Below are 21,029 nucleotides of genomic sequence, written 5' to 3' on the forward strand. Positions count from 1 at the left end.
GGCGCTCAGCATACGGAGGACCTTCACCGGCACCGGTCTCTGCGTTCCCTCAGTATTTATTGATCACTGTTTTCATTATCTCAGCAAGAGGAATGCAGTAGGAGAGCAGGGCGATAGTGGGGAGAAGGTCAGCAAGAAAACATGTGAGCAAAGGAATCTGTGTCACAAATAAGTTCAAGGGAAGGTACTATGCCTGGATGTGCACGTAGGCCAGATTTATGCTTCTCTCCACCCAAACATCTCAGTGGAGTAAAGACTAACAGAGCAGCATTGCTGCCAACATGTCTCGCCTCCAGTCACAGGGCGGTTTTTCTCCTATCTCAGAATAGAACAAATGTACAATCGGGTTTTATCCTGAGACATTCAGTTCCCATGGGCAGGCAGGAGAAAGAGGCCTTCCTCTTATCTCAACTGCAAGAGGCCTTCCTCTTTTACTAACCCTCCTCAGTACAGACCCTTGACAGGTGTCGGGCTGGGGGACGGTCAGGTCTTTCCCATCCCACGAGGCCATATCTCAGGCTATCACATGGGGAGAAACCTTGGACAATACCCGGCTTTCCAGGGCAGAGGTCCCTGCAGCTTTCCGCAGTGCATTGTGCCCCTGGTTTATCGAGACTGGAGAATGGCGATGACTTTTACCAAGCACACTGCCTGTAAACATTTTGTTAACAAGGCACATCCTGCACAGCCCTAGATCCCTTAAACCTTGATTCCATACAACACATGTTTTTGTGAGCTCAAGGTTGGGGCAAAGTTACAGATTAACAGCATCTCAGGGCAAAGCAATTGTTCAGGGTACAGGTCAAAATGGAATTTCTTATGTCTTCCTTTTCTACATAGACACAGTGACAGTCTGATCTCTCTTTCTTTTCCCTACACCATCCTCCTTGATTTTTGTTTTTTAACAGATGAGAAATGGAGGCACAGAATGGTGATGGCACTTGCCTGGTACAACTAATTAAAGATGGAATAGAACCAAGGTTTCCTGTTTCTGAGCCCAGAATGCTTTCTATTACCCTGTCTGTATTTTGTTATATCTCCTAGTATAGAAAACTTCAAAACATATTATATTCATCAGTTGGTTTTCATAGTTTATTGCATTTGTGCTTTCTAGGAACAGCAGTAAATATTATTTAATAAAAATACAGATACAATATTAGTGCCATATTAACTGTTCTTTCTGCTTGAGAAAAAAGTCTTATACAGACTCTTCTAACAAATCATGTTTAAAATTATATTTCATTGTTCAATTAGCAGTTGCATGTTCCCAAGCCAAATTATTTTACTTTAATGTACTCATATAATAGTTTCAGTATTAACAGAGTTAAACATAGCCACATTTTCAGAATAAGATTCTATATCTAATGTTAATAACATCACTAATTTACTAAGTGACAACATTGTTATAGGCATTTAGTACATATTATCTTATTTCCTACTCACAAGTAAATCACTACTATTCTCTTTATTTTACAGAAGAGAAAACTATTCTTATAATTCTCAGTGCTTTACTGTTAGTATTTCCATCTTTGTGTATTTAAATTCTTTAAAGACGTTTTTCATTAGGATTTATTACTTCTGAAACTTGTTCTTTTCTCAGAGAAATGTTTTTTATTATAAAAGTTGTAATTCAACTCTATTTCCTGAGTACTCAGTGAAAAACTCACCAAGTAACAACGTGCAGGGTATGTCATAGGCAGTTTTAGATAATTTAGTTATGAGATTAGCGTCCTTTCAGAAATTGCATTTTAATTTATTCAAGGCACTATTATATATTAAAAGGCAACAATTTAATGTTCTTGATGCTTAATGAGATAATTTTCATTTTGTTATGGCAGATGGTTTTACCGTACCTCTTCCCAGTGCCTTTTTAAAATGAGGGAGTTAAATAGAAGAAAATGGAGCTTAATGTAGCTGTGGGCTATTTATTTAGTATATGTTCCAAATGGAAAGTGTTTAATCTTGCAATTGAAGAGTCCTTTAGTGCTTCTTATTAATTTAAGTAACACCAACCTTAAGTTTTGTACTTGCCTAGAGCTTAAAAGAAATCAGACAAACCTTGTAAAGTGTGATTCTCCTACCCTAATTACCTTTCTCATAATCTCTTTTCTCACCTCTCTTGATTTTTTTCCATTTGTGTGATGAACAACTTGAGCTAAATGTTTAACAGAGTCTCTAGCAGTGTGCTGCCATATCACCTTTACTTTTTCAGACAGCTCCCGAACTGCTGCTGTACTCTTCACTGTCTTCACTGTTAAGTGAAAAGCTTTTGAAAGTACTTAGTAACTCCAGTTACTCCTTCTCTGTTCTACGTTGTATTTCAGTGATTTGGACACATTTTTGGATTGGCATGTGCTTTACTCTTAGATTCTGAGCTGTCTCTGAGTGATCCATTGTACAAACGAGCAGTGCATTAGTGCAGTTGTTAATGAGTTTAGAGGTATTAGCCTTTTTGGGGAGATTAGCCTTTTGTCTATAATATGAATTGCAAATAATTTTTCCCAGCTTGTCATCTGTCTTTTAGTTTGCATAGGGTTTTTATTTTGTTTTGTTGCCATGCAGAAGTTGATTTTTGAGACGGAGTGTCGCTCTGTTGCCCAGGCTGGAGTGCAGTGGCGCGATCTCGGCTCACTGCAACCTCCGCCTCCTGAGTTCAAGCAATTCTCCTGCCTCAGCCTCCCGAGTAGCTGGGATTACAGACGTTCACCACTATGGCTGGCTAATTTTTGTATTTTTAGTAGAGACAGGGTTTTACCATGTTGGCCAAGGGCTGGTCTCAAACTCCTGACCTCAAGTGATCCACCTGCCTCAGCCTCCCAAAGTGCTGGGATTACAGTTGTGAGCCACTGCACCCGGCCAGAAGTTGATTTTTATGTAGTCAACTTTATCATTCTTTTCTACCAAGGCTTCTGGATTTTCAGTCACCGTGTTCCTCTTTGTGAAATTATAAAGAAATTTGCCTCTGTAGTTTTCTTCTAGTACTTTTTTGGTTTGATTCTTGCATATAAATCTTTGATTTATTAGGAATTTACTCTGATGTGTGAGGTGAGCTACAGATCCAACCTAATTTTCTTCCATATGGCTACTTTTTTCCTAGTATCATTTTTTTAAATAGTTTATTGATTTGAGATGTCACCTTTATCATGTCCTAAATTCTCAAGGTATCTAGATCTGCTTCTGGACTTTTGTTCTCTTCCATTAGTCACTTTGTCTGTTTATGCATCAGTACCACATTGCTTTTAATTTCTGAGATTTTATATGTTTTAATGTCTTTATGACCCGTTCTCCTTTTCAGAGCTTCTGGCTTTTCTTTTTCTTTTCTTTTTTTTTTGAGCCATGGTTTCACTCTGTCACCCAGGCCAGAATGCAGTGATGCGGTCACAGCTCACTGCAGCCTCGACCTCCTCAGGCTCAGGTAATTCTCCCACGTCAACCTCCTGAGTAGCTGGGATTACAGGCACGCACCACCGAGCCTGGCTAATTTTTTTATATTTTGTAGAGATGAGGTCTCACTCTGTTGCTCAGGCTGGTCTTGAACTCCTGGACTCAAGCAATTCACCCACTTCAGCCTCCCCAAGTGCTAGAATTACAGTTGTGAGCTACCGTGCCCAACCTGGCTTTTCTTTCTTACAGTTTTCCATATGAATACTAGAATAACTTTACATAGTTTTTTTTAAAAAAAGCAGCTTTTGTTTTTGTTGAGATCATGTCAGACTTATGAATTAATTAGAGGAGAACTGACATCTTTATGATGTTGTATTCCTAAGAATATGATATGACTTTTTATATGTTCCAGTATTTTTTGTACCCTTTAGAAATGTTTTAAAGTATTCTTTATATGTACTCCACACATCTGTTGTTAAATTTGTTTTTGCTACTATTATTTCTTGGGGCCTTTTTCTCATATCTTCTAACTGCTTTATATAAAACTATTGATTTTTATATATTGTTTTATATTCTGCCACCTTACTGAATTATTGTTTTTCTTTGTCTCATGTACTTTGCCTATTTTTAAAATGTTCCTGGTTTGTGTTTTTAATCTATTTTATGAACATTATATTGATCTTTATCATATATTTTATGAATATTTTTTCCAGTTGTCATATTAATGCTATATAACTGAGATTCTTGAAGAGATTATCCATTCTTCCTCATTACAAGATAAACATTTTTTGTTTCTGATTATTTACACTGTTAATAATTATTTATTATGGATCTTTGTTTACAATACATACTGAAGTGCCAGCTTTTCATCAGACCCATCTGTTATTCACTTAATTATATACTCATTATATAATACACTCTGTTATAAACTCAGTTATATACGGAGTTACATGTTCAGCACATACTGATTGTCTACCATGTGCCAGGCACTGATTTAGGTACTGAGGATGGAATAGGGGACACTTATTTCGCTTCTGTTTTGTTTGTGCCTCACTTTGCAGGAGTTCCACTATATAGAAGAAGATCTTTATCGAACAAAGAACACATTGCAAAGCAGAATTAAAGATCGAGACGAAGAAATTCAAAAACTCAGGAATCAGGTATGAATCACTATTCACAACTTGTGAAAAGATGCCACTGATAAAGCTACATTTTTTTAAAAAGGACACAGTAAGAACTTTCCCCGTGTTTTCACCTGAGTTCTTTTGTAACAGTGGTGACAAAAGTTCTTTTCAACCTGGTATAGAAAATTCATCTAATGCCATTTGAGTCTACATTTGCTCTGTTCTATGATTTGCTTCTTATAGAAGTATCTTGTAGCCAAAGTCACGAAGTAGATGAGAATTACCCCGAAATTTCAGACCTTTGACATCAGTGTGGTTGTGCTGATTGCCAGGTTCATAATTGTGATTTCATTTTCCTAAGAAAAATCTAATGATACATCTTCCTATTAATGATTGATCAGTCTTCCATAAAGTCACCAAGATATTTTTTTAACCGTGAAAATGTAAAATGTACAGAAAATAATGACACTCATGTGCCTACCACCCAGACTTACCAAAGCCTTTATCATTAGCTGATAGAGTCACACGTTCACATTCCCTGTAATCATAGTTGTCCTTTCCTTCCTTAGGTTTAGACAATTGATTTAATGGACTTAATAATCATTTAAATAATTTACATAAAGATTGAGTCTTTATTTTTTAGTTAATGGCTTAGTTTGAACTATGAAAAGTCAAATAATTTTGGTCTTTTAAGTTTCCAGACTTGATAGTAGTCCATAATTTTAAATGTTTTGAAATACTTTGTCTTAATTTTTATAAGAGTTGAGAACAGCTCACTGATTTGAGCATTCCCTTCTTCCCTTGCCTATTTTGTGAAATACTTACAGATGGTCACGTGATGTGCTAGCAGAAAGTCAAAAGAAGGAGCAAAAACCACCAATTGGTTTAATCCTTTTTCTATATTTACTAAATATTTATTGAGTACCTACTGTATCTGAAGTATTGCACCATTTTTGTTAATCAAGAATTAGGCCAGGTGAGGTAGTTCATGCTTGAAATCCCAACACTTTGGGAGACCGAGGCAGGAGGACCGCTTCAGCTCAGCAGTTTGAGACCAGCCTGGGCAACATAGTGAGACCTTGTCTCTACAAAAAATCAAAAAATTAGGCGTGGTGGCACACACCTGTAGTTCTAGCTACTCAGAGGCTGATATGGGAGGATCACTTGCGCCTGGGAGGTCAAGGCTGCAGTGAGCTCTCAGTGCACCTCTACACTCCACCTTGAGTGACAGAGTGAGACCCTGTCTCAAAAAAAAAAAGAAAAAACAACCATAGGGTGGCTTATGCCTATAGTCCTAACTACTTGGGAGGCTGAGGCAGGGAGATCACTTGAGGTCAGGAGTTCAAGATCAGCCTGGGCAACATAGCGAGACCATCATCTCTAAAAAAATATTTTTAATTAGGTGCATGGTGGCACGTACCTGTAAGTCCCAGCTACTTGGGAGGCTAAGACATAAGGATCACATGAGCCTAGGAGTTCAAGGCTGCAGTGAGCTATGATCACCCCGCTGTACTCTAGTTGGGCAACAGAGAGAGACTTTGTTTCTTAAAAAGAAAGAATTAACCATAGGAGGATTTCTCTGAAAGGTTTTTCATCAAATTAGAAGAGAGCAAAACCTTTGTCCCGTAGAATTAAGTTGACTTGTACAATCTGAAAAGAGATCAGCATCTTAATACATTGCCAAAAAAAAAAAAAAATCACACAATTGGAGTGAGTTAAGATTTATTCTGAATGAACAATAAAGAATTATGCTTATTATTTTTGGGCTTTCTGCATGTAGGTTAAAAAAATAGGTTGCCAGTTTGAATGTTTTTTCATTTTTCACACCTGTAATCCCAGCACTTTGGGAGGCCAAGGTGGGCAGATCACTTGAGGCCAGGAGTTCAAGACCAGCCAGGCCAACATAGCAAAACCCTGTCTCTATTGAAAATACAAAAAAATTAGCTGGGCATGGTGGTGCAGACCTGTAATACCAGCTACTTGAGAGGCTGAGACAGGAGAATCACTTGAACCCAGAAGGCAGAGGTTGCAGTGAGCCAAGATTGTGCCACTGCACTCCAGTCTGGGAGACAGAGCCAGACTCTATCTCAAAAAAAAAAAAAAGAAAAAAAAGAAAATTATTGCATGGGAGTAGATGAAAACATACAGAGAAAAAAAATGAACCTTTATTTTTATCCCCTAATTAGACTTGCAAAGTTACCAAAAATTAATTTGAGATGACGCTAAGCCTAAGCTATAAAGCTTCTAGGAGAACGTGTAGGAGAATCTTTTTGCAATTTTGAGGCTGACAGATTTCTTAGAGAAGATACAAAAAGCGCTAACTGTAGAAGAAAATGATACATTGCTATTCATAAAAATTAAAATTTTCTTCTCATCAAAAGAGATTATAAAAATAAAAACAGGTAAGCCACAGATTGGGAAATAATATTTACTTTCTCTCTCTGTATATATATATCTGATAAAGGATTTATAACCAGGATAAGAACTCTTAATAATAAGGTGCACAGCCATTTCTTTTAAATAGGTAAAAGACTTGAATAGACCCTTCCAAAAAGAAGAAAAAAGCACACCTTGTTTTATTGCATTTCTCTTTATTGCAGTTTGCAGATACTGCATTTTTACCAAATTGAAAGTTTATGGCAACCCTGCATCAAGCAAGTCTGTCCACACCATTTTTCCAACAGCATATGCTCACTTCATGTCTGTGTCACATTTTGGTAATTCTCACAATATTTCTGATTTTTTAATTATATCTGTGGTGATCTGTGATCAGTGACCTTTTATATAACTATTGTAATTGTTTTGGGGGCACACAAACTGCATCCACATAAGACAGTGAACTTAATCCATAAATGTGTGTGTTCTGACAGCTCCATCAACTGGCCATTCCCACATCTCTTTACCTCTCCTCAGGCCTTTCTAGTCTTTAAGACACAGCAATATTGAAATTAGGCCAATTAATAAACCTACAATGGCCTCTAGGTGTTCAAGTGAAAGGAAGAGTCAGATGTCTCTCACATTAAGTGAAAAGCTAGAGATGATTAAGCTTAGTGAAGAAGGCATGTCAAAAGGCAAGATAGGCCCAAAACTAGGCCTATTGGCACCAGTCAGCCAAGTTTTAAATGCAAAGGAAAAGTTCTTGAAGGAAATTAAAAGTGCTACTCTAGTGAACATACGAATGATAAGAAAGCCAAACAGCCTTATTGCTGACAAGGAGAAAGTTTGAGTGGTCTGGATAGATCAAACCAGCCACAACATTCCCTTAAGCCGAAGCCTAATCCAGAGCAAGGCCCTAACTCTCTTCAATTCTGTGAAGGCTAAGAGAGGTGAGGAAGCTGCAGAAGAGAAGTTTGAAGCTAGCAGAGGTTTGGTTTTGAGGTGTAAGGAAAGAAGCCATCTCCCAAATGTAAAAATGCAAAGTGAAGCAGCAAGTGCTAATGGAGAAACTGCTGCAAGTTATCTGGGAGATCTAGCTAAGATCATTGATGAAAATGGCTGCACTAAACAACAGATTTTCAATGTAGATGAAACAGCCTTCTATTGGAAGAAAATGCTATCTAGGACTTTCATAGCTCCTTCTCCAGGAGAGGAGAAGTCACTGCCTGGATTCAAAGCTTCAAAGGACGGGCTGACTCTCTTGTTAGGGGCTAATGCTGCTGGTGACTTTAAGTTAAAGCCAGTGCTCATTTACAATTGTGGAAATCCTAAGACCCTTAAGAATGATGGTAAATCTGTGCTGCTTGTGCTCTGTAAAGGGAACAACAAAGCCTAGATGACAGCACATCTGTTCACAGCATGGTTTACTGAGTATTTTAAGCTCACTGTTGAGACCTATTGCTCAGAATAAAAGATTCCTTTTAAAATATTACTGCTTATTGACAACATTCCTGGTCACCCAAGAACTCTAATAGAGCTGTACAAGGAGATTAATGTTGTTTATGAAAACATTTTTGTTTCATCCATTGTTTATGAAATCATACCTGCCAATACAATATCCATTTGGCAGCCCAAGGTATAATTTTGACCTTCAAGTCTCATTATTTAATTAAATTAATTAATTTATTTATTTTTATTTTTTGAGACAGAGCCTGATTCTGTTGCCCAGACTGGAGTGCAGTGGCCTGATCGCAGCTCACTGCAACCTCTGCCTCTTGGGTTCAAGCAATTCTTGTGCCTTGGTCTCCCAAGTAACTGGGATTACAGGTGCATGCCAGCACACTGGGCTAATTTTTGTATTTTTGGTAGAGATGGGGTTTTGCCATGTTGGGCAGGTTGGTCTCTAACTCCTGGCCTCAACCAATCCACCTGCGTCAGCGTCCCAAGTGCTGAGATTACAGGCATGAGCCACTGCGCCTAGCCAGTTAATTTATTTTTGAGACAAGGTCCCACTCTGTCACCCAGGCTGGAGTGCAGTGGTGTGATTTTGGCTCACTGCAACCTCCACCTCCTGGGCTCAAGTGATCCTCCCACTTCAGCTTCCCAAGTGGCTGGGATTACAAGTGCAAGCTACCACGCCTGGCTACTTTTGTTTTTTTGTAGAAATGAGGTCTCACTATGTTCCCCAGGCTGGTCTCAAACTCCTAGGCTCAAGTAATCCTCCCCTCTCAGCCTTCCAGAGTGCTGAGATTACAGGAGTGAGCCACTGTGCCTGGCGAGTCTTATCACTTAAGACATACTTTTTATAAGGCTATTGCTGCCATAGATTCCTTAGTTGGATCTTGAGGCACAGTCAATTGAGAACCTTCTGGAAAAGATTCACTATACTAGATGCCATTAAGAACATTTGTGATTCATGGGAGGAGGCCAGAATATCAACATTAACAGGAGTGTGGAAGAAGCTGATTCCAGCCCTCAAGGATGGCTTTGAGGAGTTCAAGACTTCATTGAAAGAAGTAATTGCACATGTGGTAGAAATAGCGAGAGAACTAGAATTAGAAATGGAGCCTGAAGATGTGGCTAAATTGCTGCAATCTCATAATAAAACTTAAACAGATGAGGAGTTGCTTCTTACCGATGAGCTAAGAAAGTGATTTCTTAAGATGGAATCCACTTTTGGTGAAGATGCTGTGAACATTGTTGAAATGACAACAAAGAATTTAGAATACTACATTAACTTAGTTGATGAAGCACTGGCAGGGTGTTAAAGGATTGACTCCAGTTTTGAAAGATGTTCTGATGTGAGTAAAATGCTATCAAACATCATTACATGCTACTGGGAAATCTTTCGTGAAGGGAAGAACCCATCGATGTGACAAACTTTGTTGTTATCTTATTTTAAGAAATTGCCACATCCACCCCAGCCCTCAGCAGCCACCATTCTGATCAGTCAGCAGCCATCAACATCAAGGCAAGACTCTCCACCAACAAAAAGATTAGGACTCACTGAAGGCTCAAATGATGGTTAGCATGTTTATTTAAAGCAAGCTTGGGCCGGGCATGGTGGTTCACGCCTGTAAGCCCACCACTTTGGGAGGCCGAGGCAGGTGGATCATCTGAGGTCAGGAGTTCGAGACTAGCCTGACCAACATGGTGAAACCCCGTCTCTACTAAAAATACAAAATTAGCCGAGCATGGTTGCAGGTACCTGTGATCCCAGCTATTCAGGAGGCTGAGGCAGGAGAATTGCTTGAACCTGGGAGGCGGAGGTTGCAGTGAGGTGAGATCACACCATTGCACTCCAGTCTGGGCGGCAGAGCAAAACTCCGTCTCAAAAACAAAAGCAAGCTTGTCCGACCCATAGTCAACCCAACACAGAATTCGTAAACTTAAATCATTATGAGATTTTTTTTGTGACTGGTATTTTTTTTTTTTAGCTTATCAGATATCATTAGTGTTAGTGTATTTTGTGTGTGGCCCAAGATAATTCTTCTAGTGTGGCCCAGAAAAGCCAAAAGATTAGACATCCCTGATTTAAAGTATGCACGTTGTTATTTTAGACATCATGCTACTGCACTGTTAATAGACTACAGTATATTGTAAATACAGCTTTTTGTTGTTGTTGTTTTTGGGAGACAGGATATTTGCTCTGTCACCCGGGCTGGAGTGCAGTGGTGCGATCACAGCTCACTGCAGCCTTGACCTCCCAGGCTCTAGTGGTCCTCCCACCTCAGCCCCCCAAGTGGCTGGGACTACAGGCATGCACCACCACACTCGGCTAATTTGTAAATTTTTTGTAGAGGTGGGGTCTTATTATGTTGCCCAAGCTGGTTTTGAACTCCTGGGCTCCAGCAATCCTCCTACCTTGACCTCCCAAAGTGCTGGAGTTACACACGTGAGTCACCACACCTGGCCTAAATATAACTTTTATATGCACTGAGGAACCAAAAAATTCGTGTGACTGACTTTATTGCAATATTCACTTTATTCCAGTGGACCAAACCCATATTATCTCTGAGGTGTGCCTGTATATGAATGATTAAATAAGCATGTGAATAGGTGCTCAGAGTCATCACTAAGGTATACTACCACACACCCACTAGAATGGCTGAAATGGAAAAGATTGGCAGTAGCATGTGTTGGTGAGGATGTGGTGCAGCTGGAACTCTCACCCACTGCTGGTGGAAGTGCACAGCAGCACAACCACTTTGGAAAACTGGCTGTTTCTGATAAGGCTAACGTACATCTAACCTGTGACTTTAGATATTTACCCAGTGTAAATGAAGATGTATGACCACTAGAAGACTTGTACATGAATATTTGTAACATGCTTGTTCATAAATAGCCCAAATTGGAAACAACCCAAATGTCCATCAGCAGGTAATGGATAAACAAATTGCAAACCATTCGTCAAACTAACACAACTCAGATGAATTTTTTTTTTTAAAAGCCATGTGCAAAAGGATTCATACTGTGTGATTCCACTCAGGAAATTCAAGAATAGGCAAAACTAAATTCTGCTAATAGAAATCAGAATAGTGATTGTCTAGGGTGATGGAAACATTGTTTGTTTTGATCTTGATGCTGACTATACCGTCAAACATTTGTCACAGTTCGTTTTTTGCTTAATACCTGGGTATTTCACTATATAGATTTTACCTTGATTAAAAAATCTTGAAGTATGTTGATTAGGGGATCATAGTACCATCTTAAAATTGAGCATTCTTTTAAAAATAGTAAACCTTAGTTTATACTCAATAAAATTCCATCTGGTAGTTATTTGTTGTGGTGTGCTTAATTTGTGGGGAGTGCTGTAAAGGATTCATAAGAAAGGAAGCTAATTTTTTAAGTGCCTACCATATGACAGGTACCATATTAGGTGTTTTATATGTTAATTTAAGTAAGCATCATATCCTATGAACAAGGAAACAGGCTCAGATTTAATAGCTTTCCCAAGATACTGTAGCTAGGAAATGTCAGAGCTGGGGTTTTAAACTTAGATCAAACTTTTTTCAATACTGTATTGATGTAGACAATGATTCTTGCCCTCATGAAGCTGACTTACAGTGTCATTGAGGAGGCAAAATTGACTCCCATAAAACAGCGTTATCGGAGTGACTGATAAATACCAAGACATTTACCAAGAAAGCTAAGATTAACCTGGGCTAGAGTGATTAGAGAAGACTTCAACAAAGAGTATGAAGTATGTTGATTAGGGGATCACAGTGCAATCTTAAAATGGAGCATTCTTTTTTAAGTAGTAAACCTTAGTTTATGTTCAATATAATTCCATCTGGTAGTTATTTGTTGTGGTGTACTTAATTTGTGGGGAGTGCTGTAAGGGATTTATAAGAAAGAAAGGCAGGTGGAGCCTAGATAAGAGAAGGGGATTGAGTTTCCAAACAGAGGAAACGTGGCCGGCATAGCGGAGGCTGGAGGAGAGTAGAGGGAGATGGAGACAGATAAGACCAGATGGAAGATGGAATGAAGGAAGTCGTTAAGTATCAACTTTCAGCCAGAGTCTCCTAGGACAACTATCATTTACTGTCCCTAAATACCATGTGCAACGGGTGCTGTCATCTTCACTAACAGATGAGGAAACAGATTCAGAGAAGTATAGCAATTAACCTGAAGTCAAATAGCTTGAAAATTGCAGAGCAGAGATGAAAACCTCAGAGTGTGATCTTTGCACTGCACCGTAACTGTTGAATGACGGAGGCTTTTGAATCCCTGTTGAAAAGTGTGGATTGTGTCCTCTAAACCCATGCTTTGAAATACTTTGACCATGACGCCTCAGTGAGAAAAACAGTTTACATCGTGTCTCAGTACTGACATGCACTTACATGTACCAAACTGAAACAGGAGTTTCACAAAATTATACTTTTATATATACTATATGTTACATAAATATCAGAATATGTCCCATTCTATTACATTTTCTAAAATGCTGATTTTGACCCACCAAATTGATTTCATGACCCCAGTTTTTGAAAATCACTTTTGTAGACATTGAGTCAGTATAGAGTTTTGAGAAATCAATGAATGCCACAATTTACCTATGAAAATGTAGTAGTGTGATTTCTGTATTGTATGACTTTCATTTTATGTAAGAATTTTGTGAACACTTTCTCTTTCAGCTTACCAATAAAACTTTAAGCAATAGCAGTCAGTCTGAGTTAGAAAATCGACTCCATCAGCTAACAGAGACTCTCATCCAGAAACAGACCATGCTGGAGAGTCTCAGCACAGAAAAGAACTCCCTGGTCTTTCAACTGGAGCGCCTCGAACAGCAGATGAACTCCGCCTCTGGAAGTAGTAGTAATGGGTCTTCGATTAATATGTCTGGAATTGACAATGGTGAAGGTAATCAAAAAAGGAATCTCAAAAGAACATTTCATTCAAACATGCTTTTGAAAAGTTATAGAAGGACTATTTTTATTTGAAAGAAACTTCATCCAGTGAAGGACTCAATTTTCTGATATGAGACCTGGGCCACGTACTGTTTAGTATTGTTAGTGAACCGGATAATGGACTAATTAATATTCCTCACCAGTATTAGACTTGGGGAAAGTAGTCTGAGGATTGATAATTATATTGTAATGTCTGAGACACTTAACAAGATGATGCTGACAAGGCGAGGAATTCAGTAGAGAGGAGCTTTCAGGACACTTGAAACAAGATTTGCTTTAATAATCTTCCAGTAAATAGTTACGGGTATTAGAGCTAATACATAGTTCACATAACCATATCTAAAGAAATCTATAGATTCCCAACATATGTAATTAAAAAATAATGTGTAAGATAGTATAAGCATCAACAGATCAGATTTTTAATCTTGGAACTTCGTAAAGTCTACAAATTGTCATTCAGCAAATTTCTCAGTTCTTTGGCTTTAAATTATTTCTTTTAATAAAAAAAATTGTTTAAGAGACGCTGGGTGCCAGGTATGGGGATGGCACTGTAATTTAAAAAGGGTGATCAGGAAGACCTCGTTGAAAAGTGTCACTTCTTTTTTTTTTTTAATGTATAATTATCATTTTATTTGTAATTGTTAATTACAAGTAAAAATGAAATTATAAATAAGTAAATCATACTCCTTAATGGCATAAATAAAAAGTGCCTCGCTTAAATTAATAAAATTTTCCTGACCATAACTTCTGTGATTTTTTTAAGGGTTTTCAGTTTCTTTTAGGTTTCACCTTTTTTTTTTTATTTTATTTTTTTATTATTATTATACTTTAAGTTTTAGGGTACATGTGCACAATGTGCAGGTTAGTTACATATGTATACATGTGCCATGCTGGTGTGCTGCACCCATTAACTCGTCATTTAGCATTAGGTCTATCTCCTAATACTATCCCTCCTCCCCCCTCCCCCAGCCCCACAACAGTCCCCAGAGTGTGATGTTCCCCTTCCTGTGTCCATGTGTTCTCATTGTTCAATTCCCACCTATGAGTGAGAACATACGGTGAAAAGTGTCACTTCTTTAAAGTCCCAAAGGAGGTAAGATAGTGAACAATGAGGAGGCATAGAAAAAAAGTGTTCCAGGCAGAAAGAAGAGCAGGCACAAAGGCCTTGAGGCAGGCATGTTCCTGGCATATTTCAGGAACAGCAAGGAGGCCAAGGCCTCTGGAGTAGACTGAGTGAAGAAGACACTTGTGTAAGATGAATCCAGAGAGCTTAGAATAGGCCGTTGAGGCCTGTATGGGGACTTTTACTCTGAATGAGGTAGGAAGCCATTGAAGGATCTTGAGAGGGGGGACTGATCTGACTTGCACCTTAATAGGCTGCCTCTGACTGCCATGTCAAGAATAGACTGCACAGGGCTAAAAGTGGAAGCAGGGAGACAGGGCAAGAGGAGGCCGGAGGTGGGTGGGTAGCCATTGCATTAATCCATGTGAGAGATGGTAGTCTAGAACTGAGTGGGATTGTGAAGGTGGACTGAGAATTTATTTTAAAGGTAAGCTGACAGAATATGTTGGCAGATGAGATACGGAGTTTGAGAGAAAGAAGTCAAGAGTTTTGGCCTGAGCAGATGGAAGGATTGGAATTGTGATGTCCTGAGACAGGGAAATGGCAGCTGAGGCAGGTTGACAGCGAGGACAAGAACTCTGAATTGTAGTGTTAGGCAGGCTTTGGGGTGCCCGTTAGATATCTGGATGGAAGCGAATAGGCAGTTGGATGAGTCTGGCAGGGGATGAAGCCTCTGGGCTGGAGTACACATTTGGGAGTCCTCTGCTTCATAGAAAGACCACCCGGCCTCACTCCTCCTCACATAGGAACAAAGGGCCCATTAATATTGACTCTTGTCAACGCTTAGTATTTGTAAATTTCTTAATTTTTGCTAAAATCATTTTCTTATTTAAAACTTTTTTCTTGTTGTGGATATGGATGTTTAAATATTTATGTCATCAAATTTACCTGTCCTTTCTTTATAGTTTCATCTACTTTGGGGTGATGCTTAGAAAGTTGCCCTTGAAAATTCCTTCCACATGTAATACAGTGTATTTCCAATTATAATTGTCTTAGTTAATTTTTATGTCAGTACACTAATTTATTTTCTTATTTAAACAGGCACTCGTCTGCGAAATGTTCCTGTTCTTTTTAATGACACAGAAACTAATCTGGCAGGAATGTACGGAAAAGTTCGCAAAGCTGCTAGTTCAATTGATCAGTTTAGGTAAGCAATGCCAGTAGGGATGAGTGATGGACCATCAGCTGTTTTTACGTTTTTCAGGGTTTCAATCACAGTGACTCCCATCAGGCAGAGTCTATATTTAAAGTGACTTACTCCTTTCAAGATATTTTATACTTATATACACTTTTATTTATTTCACAGTTATATTACACTTTCATGAAGTGACTTCTTTCATGATATTTGAAATATCATGTCAGAAATTATGTCAAGAGGTCTGCCAATGCCTACATTTTATTGAAGATGATTAACCCTGACTGTATCTCTTTTTTCTATAATAAATTCTATTTTTAAAAACTTCATTAAATTTTATTGAGAAAGCCTCTACTTCATGTAAAAGTATCCATTTGAATGTTTTATCCCAGAATTTTATCATGCTATTAGAATAAAAGATGCTACTATATATAGCTGAACAGCACTCATTGTATTATATATTTTATATAAATAACAAAATTTATGTTTATGTATATGTAAATTTTTTATATTAGCAGACATCTGCCTTATCAAAAAAATATTTTAATAGTTTACATATAGCATTGATAAGGTTCTTGTCTAAATAACCTACTGTACCCTTTTTCTTTGTAGTGTTTATAATGAAAAGTTTTAATGAATTGTGGCATAATAATCTTTTTGTACCTTTTTGTGTCAGAATTGAGCTATTGTATTAAAAATAAGAATGATATACCAAGATGACTGAAGCCTCAGAACTAGGATGCCATAGCCATTATGTCCAAATTAAGCACATCTAGTTCAACTATTCATTTATTCAACATACGTAGTTGTTAGAGAACCTAAGTGCAAGACATTGTGCTAGTGGCAATGAAAGAAGCAGAAAGGGGTATTGCTTCTGCATGTATCTGTCTTGATAGGGAAAAAAATGTTGCAGAGGCATAATAGATCTGGACATCATATTGCTTCCACACTATTTATTCAAATGCATGAGTTTATAGCTTTGTACCTTTTAGAAGCATGTATCTATACAAAAGCTTCTAGATTAGCTATTTGCAGGTTAATGCCAACCAGACTCTTTTTTTCCCCAGTCACATAGTTGACACCCACCTAATCTTTCGTAACTTCTGTAATTCCACTAAAAAAAGATTTAGGCCGGGCACGGTGGCTCACACCTGTAATCCCAGCACTTTGGGGAGGCTGAGGCAGGCGGATCACCTGAGGTCAGGAGTTTGAAATCAGCCTGGCCAACATGGCGAAACCCCGTCTCTACTAAAAATACAAAAAAATTAGCCAGGCGTGGTGGTAGTGGCGCACCTGTAATCCCAGCTACTCGGGAGGCTGAAGCTGGAGAATTGCTTGAACCCAGGAAGCAGAGGTTGCCGTGGGCAGAGATCGCGCCATTGCACTCCAGCCTGGGCGACAGGAGAGAAACTCCGTCTCAAAAAAAAAAAAAATTAGGGATCAAGTTTGCCTCCTACAGTTGTGGCTGTAGAATTAAGAGAAATACCTGTGCTGAAGTTTAACAGCCAAGCCCCAAATAATGATAAAAGCATTTATTTACCTCTATGACATTTTTATATTATTATTTCAAGTAATCATTTAACAGTCTGCTATAAAAATTGTTCTTCTGTGGTAGCCACATAAATAGTTTAAATGAGTTAAATTTATCAGCATCATTAGATATTACCACAGGAAGATTTGTTTTGACTGTGACTCTTCTCTCTCCTCTCCCCCTCACACCTGTGTCTGCACAGTATTCGCCTGGGAATTTTTCTCCGAAGATACCCCATAGCGCGAGTTTTTGTAATTATATATATGGTAAGTAAATTTATTTGAAAAAACAATGATGCACTTGATTTTTAACTAGTTTTTTTTTTTGTTTGTTTGTTTGTTTTGGCTACAGATCTTATTGATATTTTAGCAATCAATCAATTTTTTTTTGTTTTTTTTGAAACAGGGTCTGGCTCTTTTGCTGAGGCTGGAGTTCAGTGGTGCAGTCTTGGCTCACTGCAGCCTCTACCTCCCAGGCTCAAGCCATCCTCCCACCTTTGCCTCCCAAGTAGCTGGGACTACAGGCGTGCACCACCATGCCCAGCTAATATTTGTATTTTTTGTAGAGACAGGGTTTCACCATGTTGCCCAGGATAGTCTCAAACTTCTGGGCTCGAGTGATCCTCCCACCTTGGCCTCTCAGAGTGCTGGGATTTCAGGAATGCGCCAACGCACCCAGCCAGCAGACAGTTTGGAAAGAGAGAACTCAGTTTTAGTAATTAAGATTTCTTTTGGTAGAGTATAAATTGACAATTCATTATGTCTAGAATATAAATTCCTCAAAGGCTTTTCCTACAAATAAAATTAAACGCAGTCTAATAGTTACCTCCATTTTAAAGCCCTTCTAATGATAAAAACAATTTGAATACAAAACAATTTTTTATCTTGACGTTGTAAAGTTGCTTTAATTGTTTTCATGTGTTTTGCTTTATTTTCTAAAAGAGCCTCAAGATTGATTTACTTTCTCCCAGATTTCTTACCTCTAGTAAAATGGTTACGGTAGTTTGGGATGCCATTTCGCATGTACCGTGTGCCTAAAAAGGCTGCTAACTATTTGGAGTGGGTATGTCTAAAAGTAGTTGGGTTGAATGAAAATGGGCTGTTTTCTTGAAAAGAAATTTCTTTAAAAAGAAATTTCTCTGTGATCCACTAGAGGGAAGAGTTATTCCTTTAAATACAGGTTTTGTGTTGTTTTTTTTTTCTGAGACTGAGTCTCGCTCTGTCACCCAGGCTGGAGTGCAGTGGCATGATCTTGGCTCACTGCATTCTCCACCTCCCAGGTTCAAGCGATTCTCCTGCCTCAGCCTGCCGAGTACCTGGGGCTACAGGCGCACGCCACTGCACCTAGCGAATTTTTCTGTGTTTGGGAGATGGGTTTTCACTATGTTGGCCAAGCTGGTCTCAAACTCCTGACCTTGAGTAATCCGCCCTCTTCGGCCTCCCAAAGTGCTGGGATTACAGGTGTGAGCCACTGCACCTGGCATAATAACAAGTTTTTAAGAAGGAAAGCGTGGGGAGTACAAAAAAAAATTGAATGGCATCAGAAAGCATTCAGAATATGCCCCAGAGGGGTTGATTTCCCAGGTGTTAGTGATGATGAGTAACACGGGCACTGTCATGAGATGGTGCCCATGAGATGTGATTTCTGGCACACGACAAAGTGGTGAGGCACTTAGTGATGGAATCTCGTATCATTTCGGTACTACCATGAGGGAATTAAATTTGTCACTATGAATCGTGTTCTGGGCCCTACATCAGCCTCTGAAACGACACATTATTTCTGTCTAGAATATTTTCCCATCTCTTCTTCACCGAACATTGGTTAAACTCTCTTTCAGAATACCAACTATAACTGTTCTAAAAGTGTTTTCTAACCAACTTCATGTGTATCTAGCAGTTTTAATCACTCTGCATTATAATCAACTGATTATTTTGCATACACGTGCATATTGTGAATGTGTTGAAGTTCAGAGCTGACTCCTCTCAACTGAATTCTGTAGGAGTAGCAAGTCTTTATTACCTTCCATTGCACTGAGCTCATTTAGTTGTTTCATTCATTCCTTCATGTGTCCCATAGGGGATACAGAGGCAGGTAAGACACAGTGCCTGCCCTCAGTGTACAGTGGGCCTTTGGTAAAAATTGGTTTATTGGCTAATCCACAAATTGCTTTTTCTTTCTCTAGGCTTTGCTTCACCTCTGGGTCATGATTGTTCTGTTGACTTACACACCAGAAATGCACCACGACCAACCATATGGCAAATGAACCAAGCCCAGTTGTTGCAGTGATTGGTTGTCTTTTTCTAGACTTGGGATCTGCAAGAAGGCCAATTGCCTAAAATTTCTGAGAACAGTGCACAAGATTATTTTATCACTACAAGCTTTTAACTTTTTAAGTTATTGTACAAGTATTCTACCTAAATCTTCCAATTTCCTTTAAATGGTAAGAGTTTCTAAAACAGACAATAATTTAACAAGCTCAGCTCTGCTTTATCTGAGTTTAGTGGTCCTAATATATATGTAGAGAAAGATGGTGGGGTTGTTCACCTCTGTACAGACCATCTGTATGTTAGGTGACATTGATTATGGGTTATAATCAGGGAAACTAATTGTATTTAGTGACAAAAATAAAAAGTTTTTTTTTATAATTCAGTCTGCTTTTGGATTTTCATATATTTAACTTTGCAAAAAGATTTACTTTGTACATGTTACAGGCTTGATTGGTGTAAATCTTTTTATAAATACATAAATAAAAGAAAAATATGCATTTTTCTTTTCTAAAATAATGGTTTTTCATCCCCATTAAACAAGACCTTTCCAGACGGACTTTAGTGAGTAGAGCCAGACAGAAAGCAGCTGAAGTCACTTGTAAGTAATTCTTAGTGTTTGCCACTTCTTCCCAATGGATGCTCCTGTCTTCCCCTTTCCAGCTCCCTGTGCTGTCTTCCTTGGATTCTTACTCACTCATTGCCTTCCTTTTCTCCAGCCTATATGTTGAGTTAGCTCGTGATATGCATAACCCCTGCTTGTAGTGTTTAGGAATCAAACCTGCCTTAGCAACCTATGCTTTTTTAAGGTACTCTAGTGCAGAGATATTATTCGAAATGAGACATTTTCTTTGAAAATGTCCGTTGTATTGTCTCTTTTACATTGGGCCCAATGTATTATCTGTTTTGACTTTCATTTTCATCTTCATTTTTTTTTGTTTTTTAAAGAAACAGGGTCTTACTCTTGTCACCAAGGCTGGAGTTCAGTGGCACAGTCGTAGCTAGCTGCAGCCTCGAACCCTTGGACTCAAGTGATCCTCCTGCCTTAGCCTTCCGAGTAGCTGGGATTACAGACTTGAGCTACCACACCCAGCGAAGAGCAGTTTTAAATTTTGAGGTGTCCAATTTGTCAGTTTTTAAATTTTCTTGTTCATACTTTGTGTTCCTATCAAAGAAACCTTTGCCTAACCCAAGGTTACAAAGATTTTCTCCTATCATTTCATCTAGAAATTTTATACTTTTAGGCTTTCCATTTAAGTTTACGATCCATGTTGAGTTAATTTTTATATCAATAAACCCTCCAACTTGATTTAAACTTTTTTTTTTAATTTTTAGAAATGGGGTCTTGCTCTGACACCCAGGCTAGAGTGCAAGGGCACCATCATAGCCCACTGCAGCCCCAAACTCCTGGGCTTAGGCAGTCCTCCCACCTCAGGCTCACAAGGAACTGTGACTACAGGCATGCACCACCACACCTGGCTAATTTTTTTTTCTTTCTTTTTTTTTTTTGTAGAGACAGGGTCTCACTATGTTACCCAGATTGGTCTCAAACTCCTGGCCTCAAGCAGTCCTCCCACCTCAGCCGCCTAAGGTGTGGGAATTACAGGCATAAGCCACTGCACCTGGCCCTGCATGTCTGAATTATTAAGTTGTTCTGTCACCCGGCTACTCTCTTCATAGGT

At 38.6% G+C, this 21,029-nt stretch overlaps 1 protein-coding gene across 3 annotated transcripts in view; it reads left to right on the plus strand.

Moving 5' to 3' along the window:
- Positions 1–19,847, plus strand: part of GOLGA5 (golgin A5) — a 45,643-nt gene extending 25,796 nt beyond the window's left edge. For 2 of the 3 annotated variants that reach the window (XM_047432021.1, NM_005113.4), the window contains exons 9-13: positions 4,446–4,544; positions 13,022–13,247; positions 15,459–15,564; positions 17,286–17,349; positions 19,266–19,847. In XM_047432021.1, the coding sequence (XP_047287977.1) occupies positions 4,446–4,544; positions 13,022–13,247; positions 15,459–15,564; positions 17,286–17,349; positions 19,266–19,346 (576 nt within the window). In that variant the 3' untranslated portion in view covers positions 19,347–19,847. The remainder of the gene's footprint in view (positions 1–4,445; positions 4,545–13,021; positions 13,248–15,458; positions 15,565–17,285; positions 17,350–19,265) is intronic. The other variant, XM_011537420.4, reaches the window with a different exon arrangement.

This window comes from Homo sapiens, chromosome 14, assembly GCF_000001405.40.
Source record: "Homo sapiens chromosome 14, GRCh38.p14 Primary Assembly".
Taxonomy (NCBI): Eukaryota; Metazoa; Chordata; class Mammalia; order Primates; family Hominidae; genus Homo; species Homo sapiens.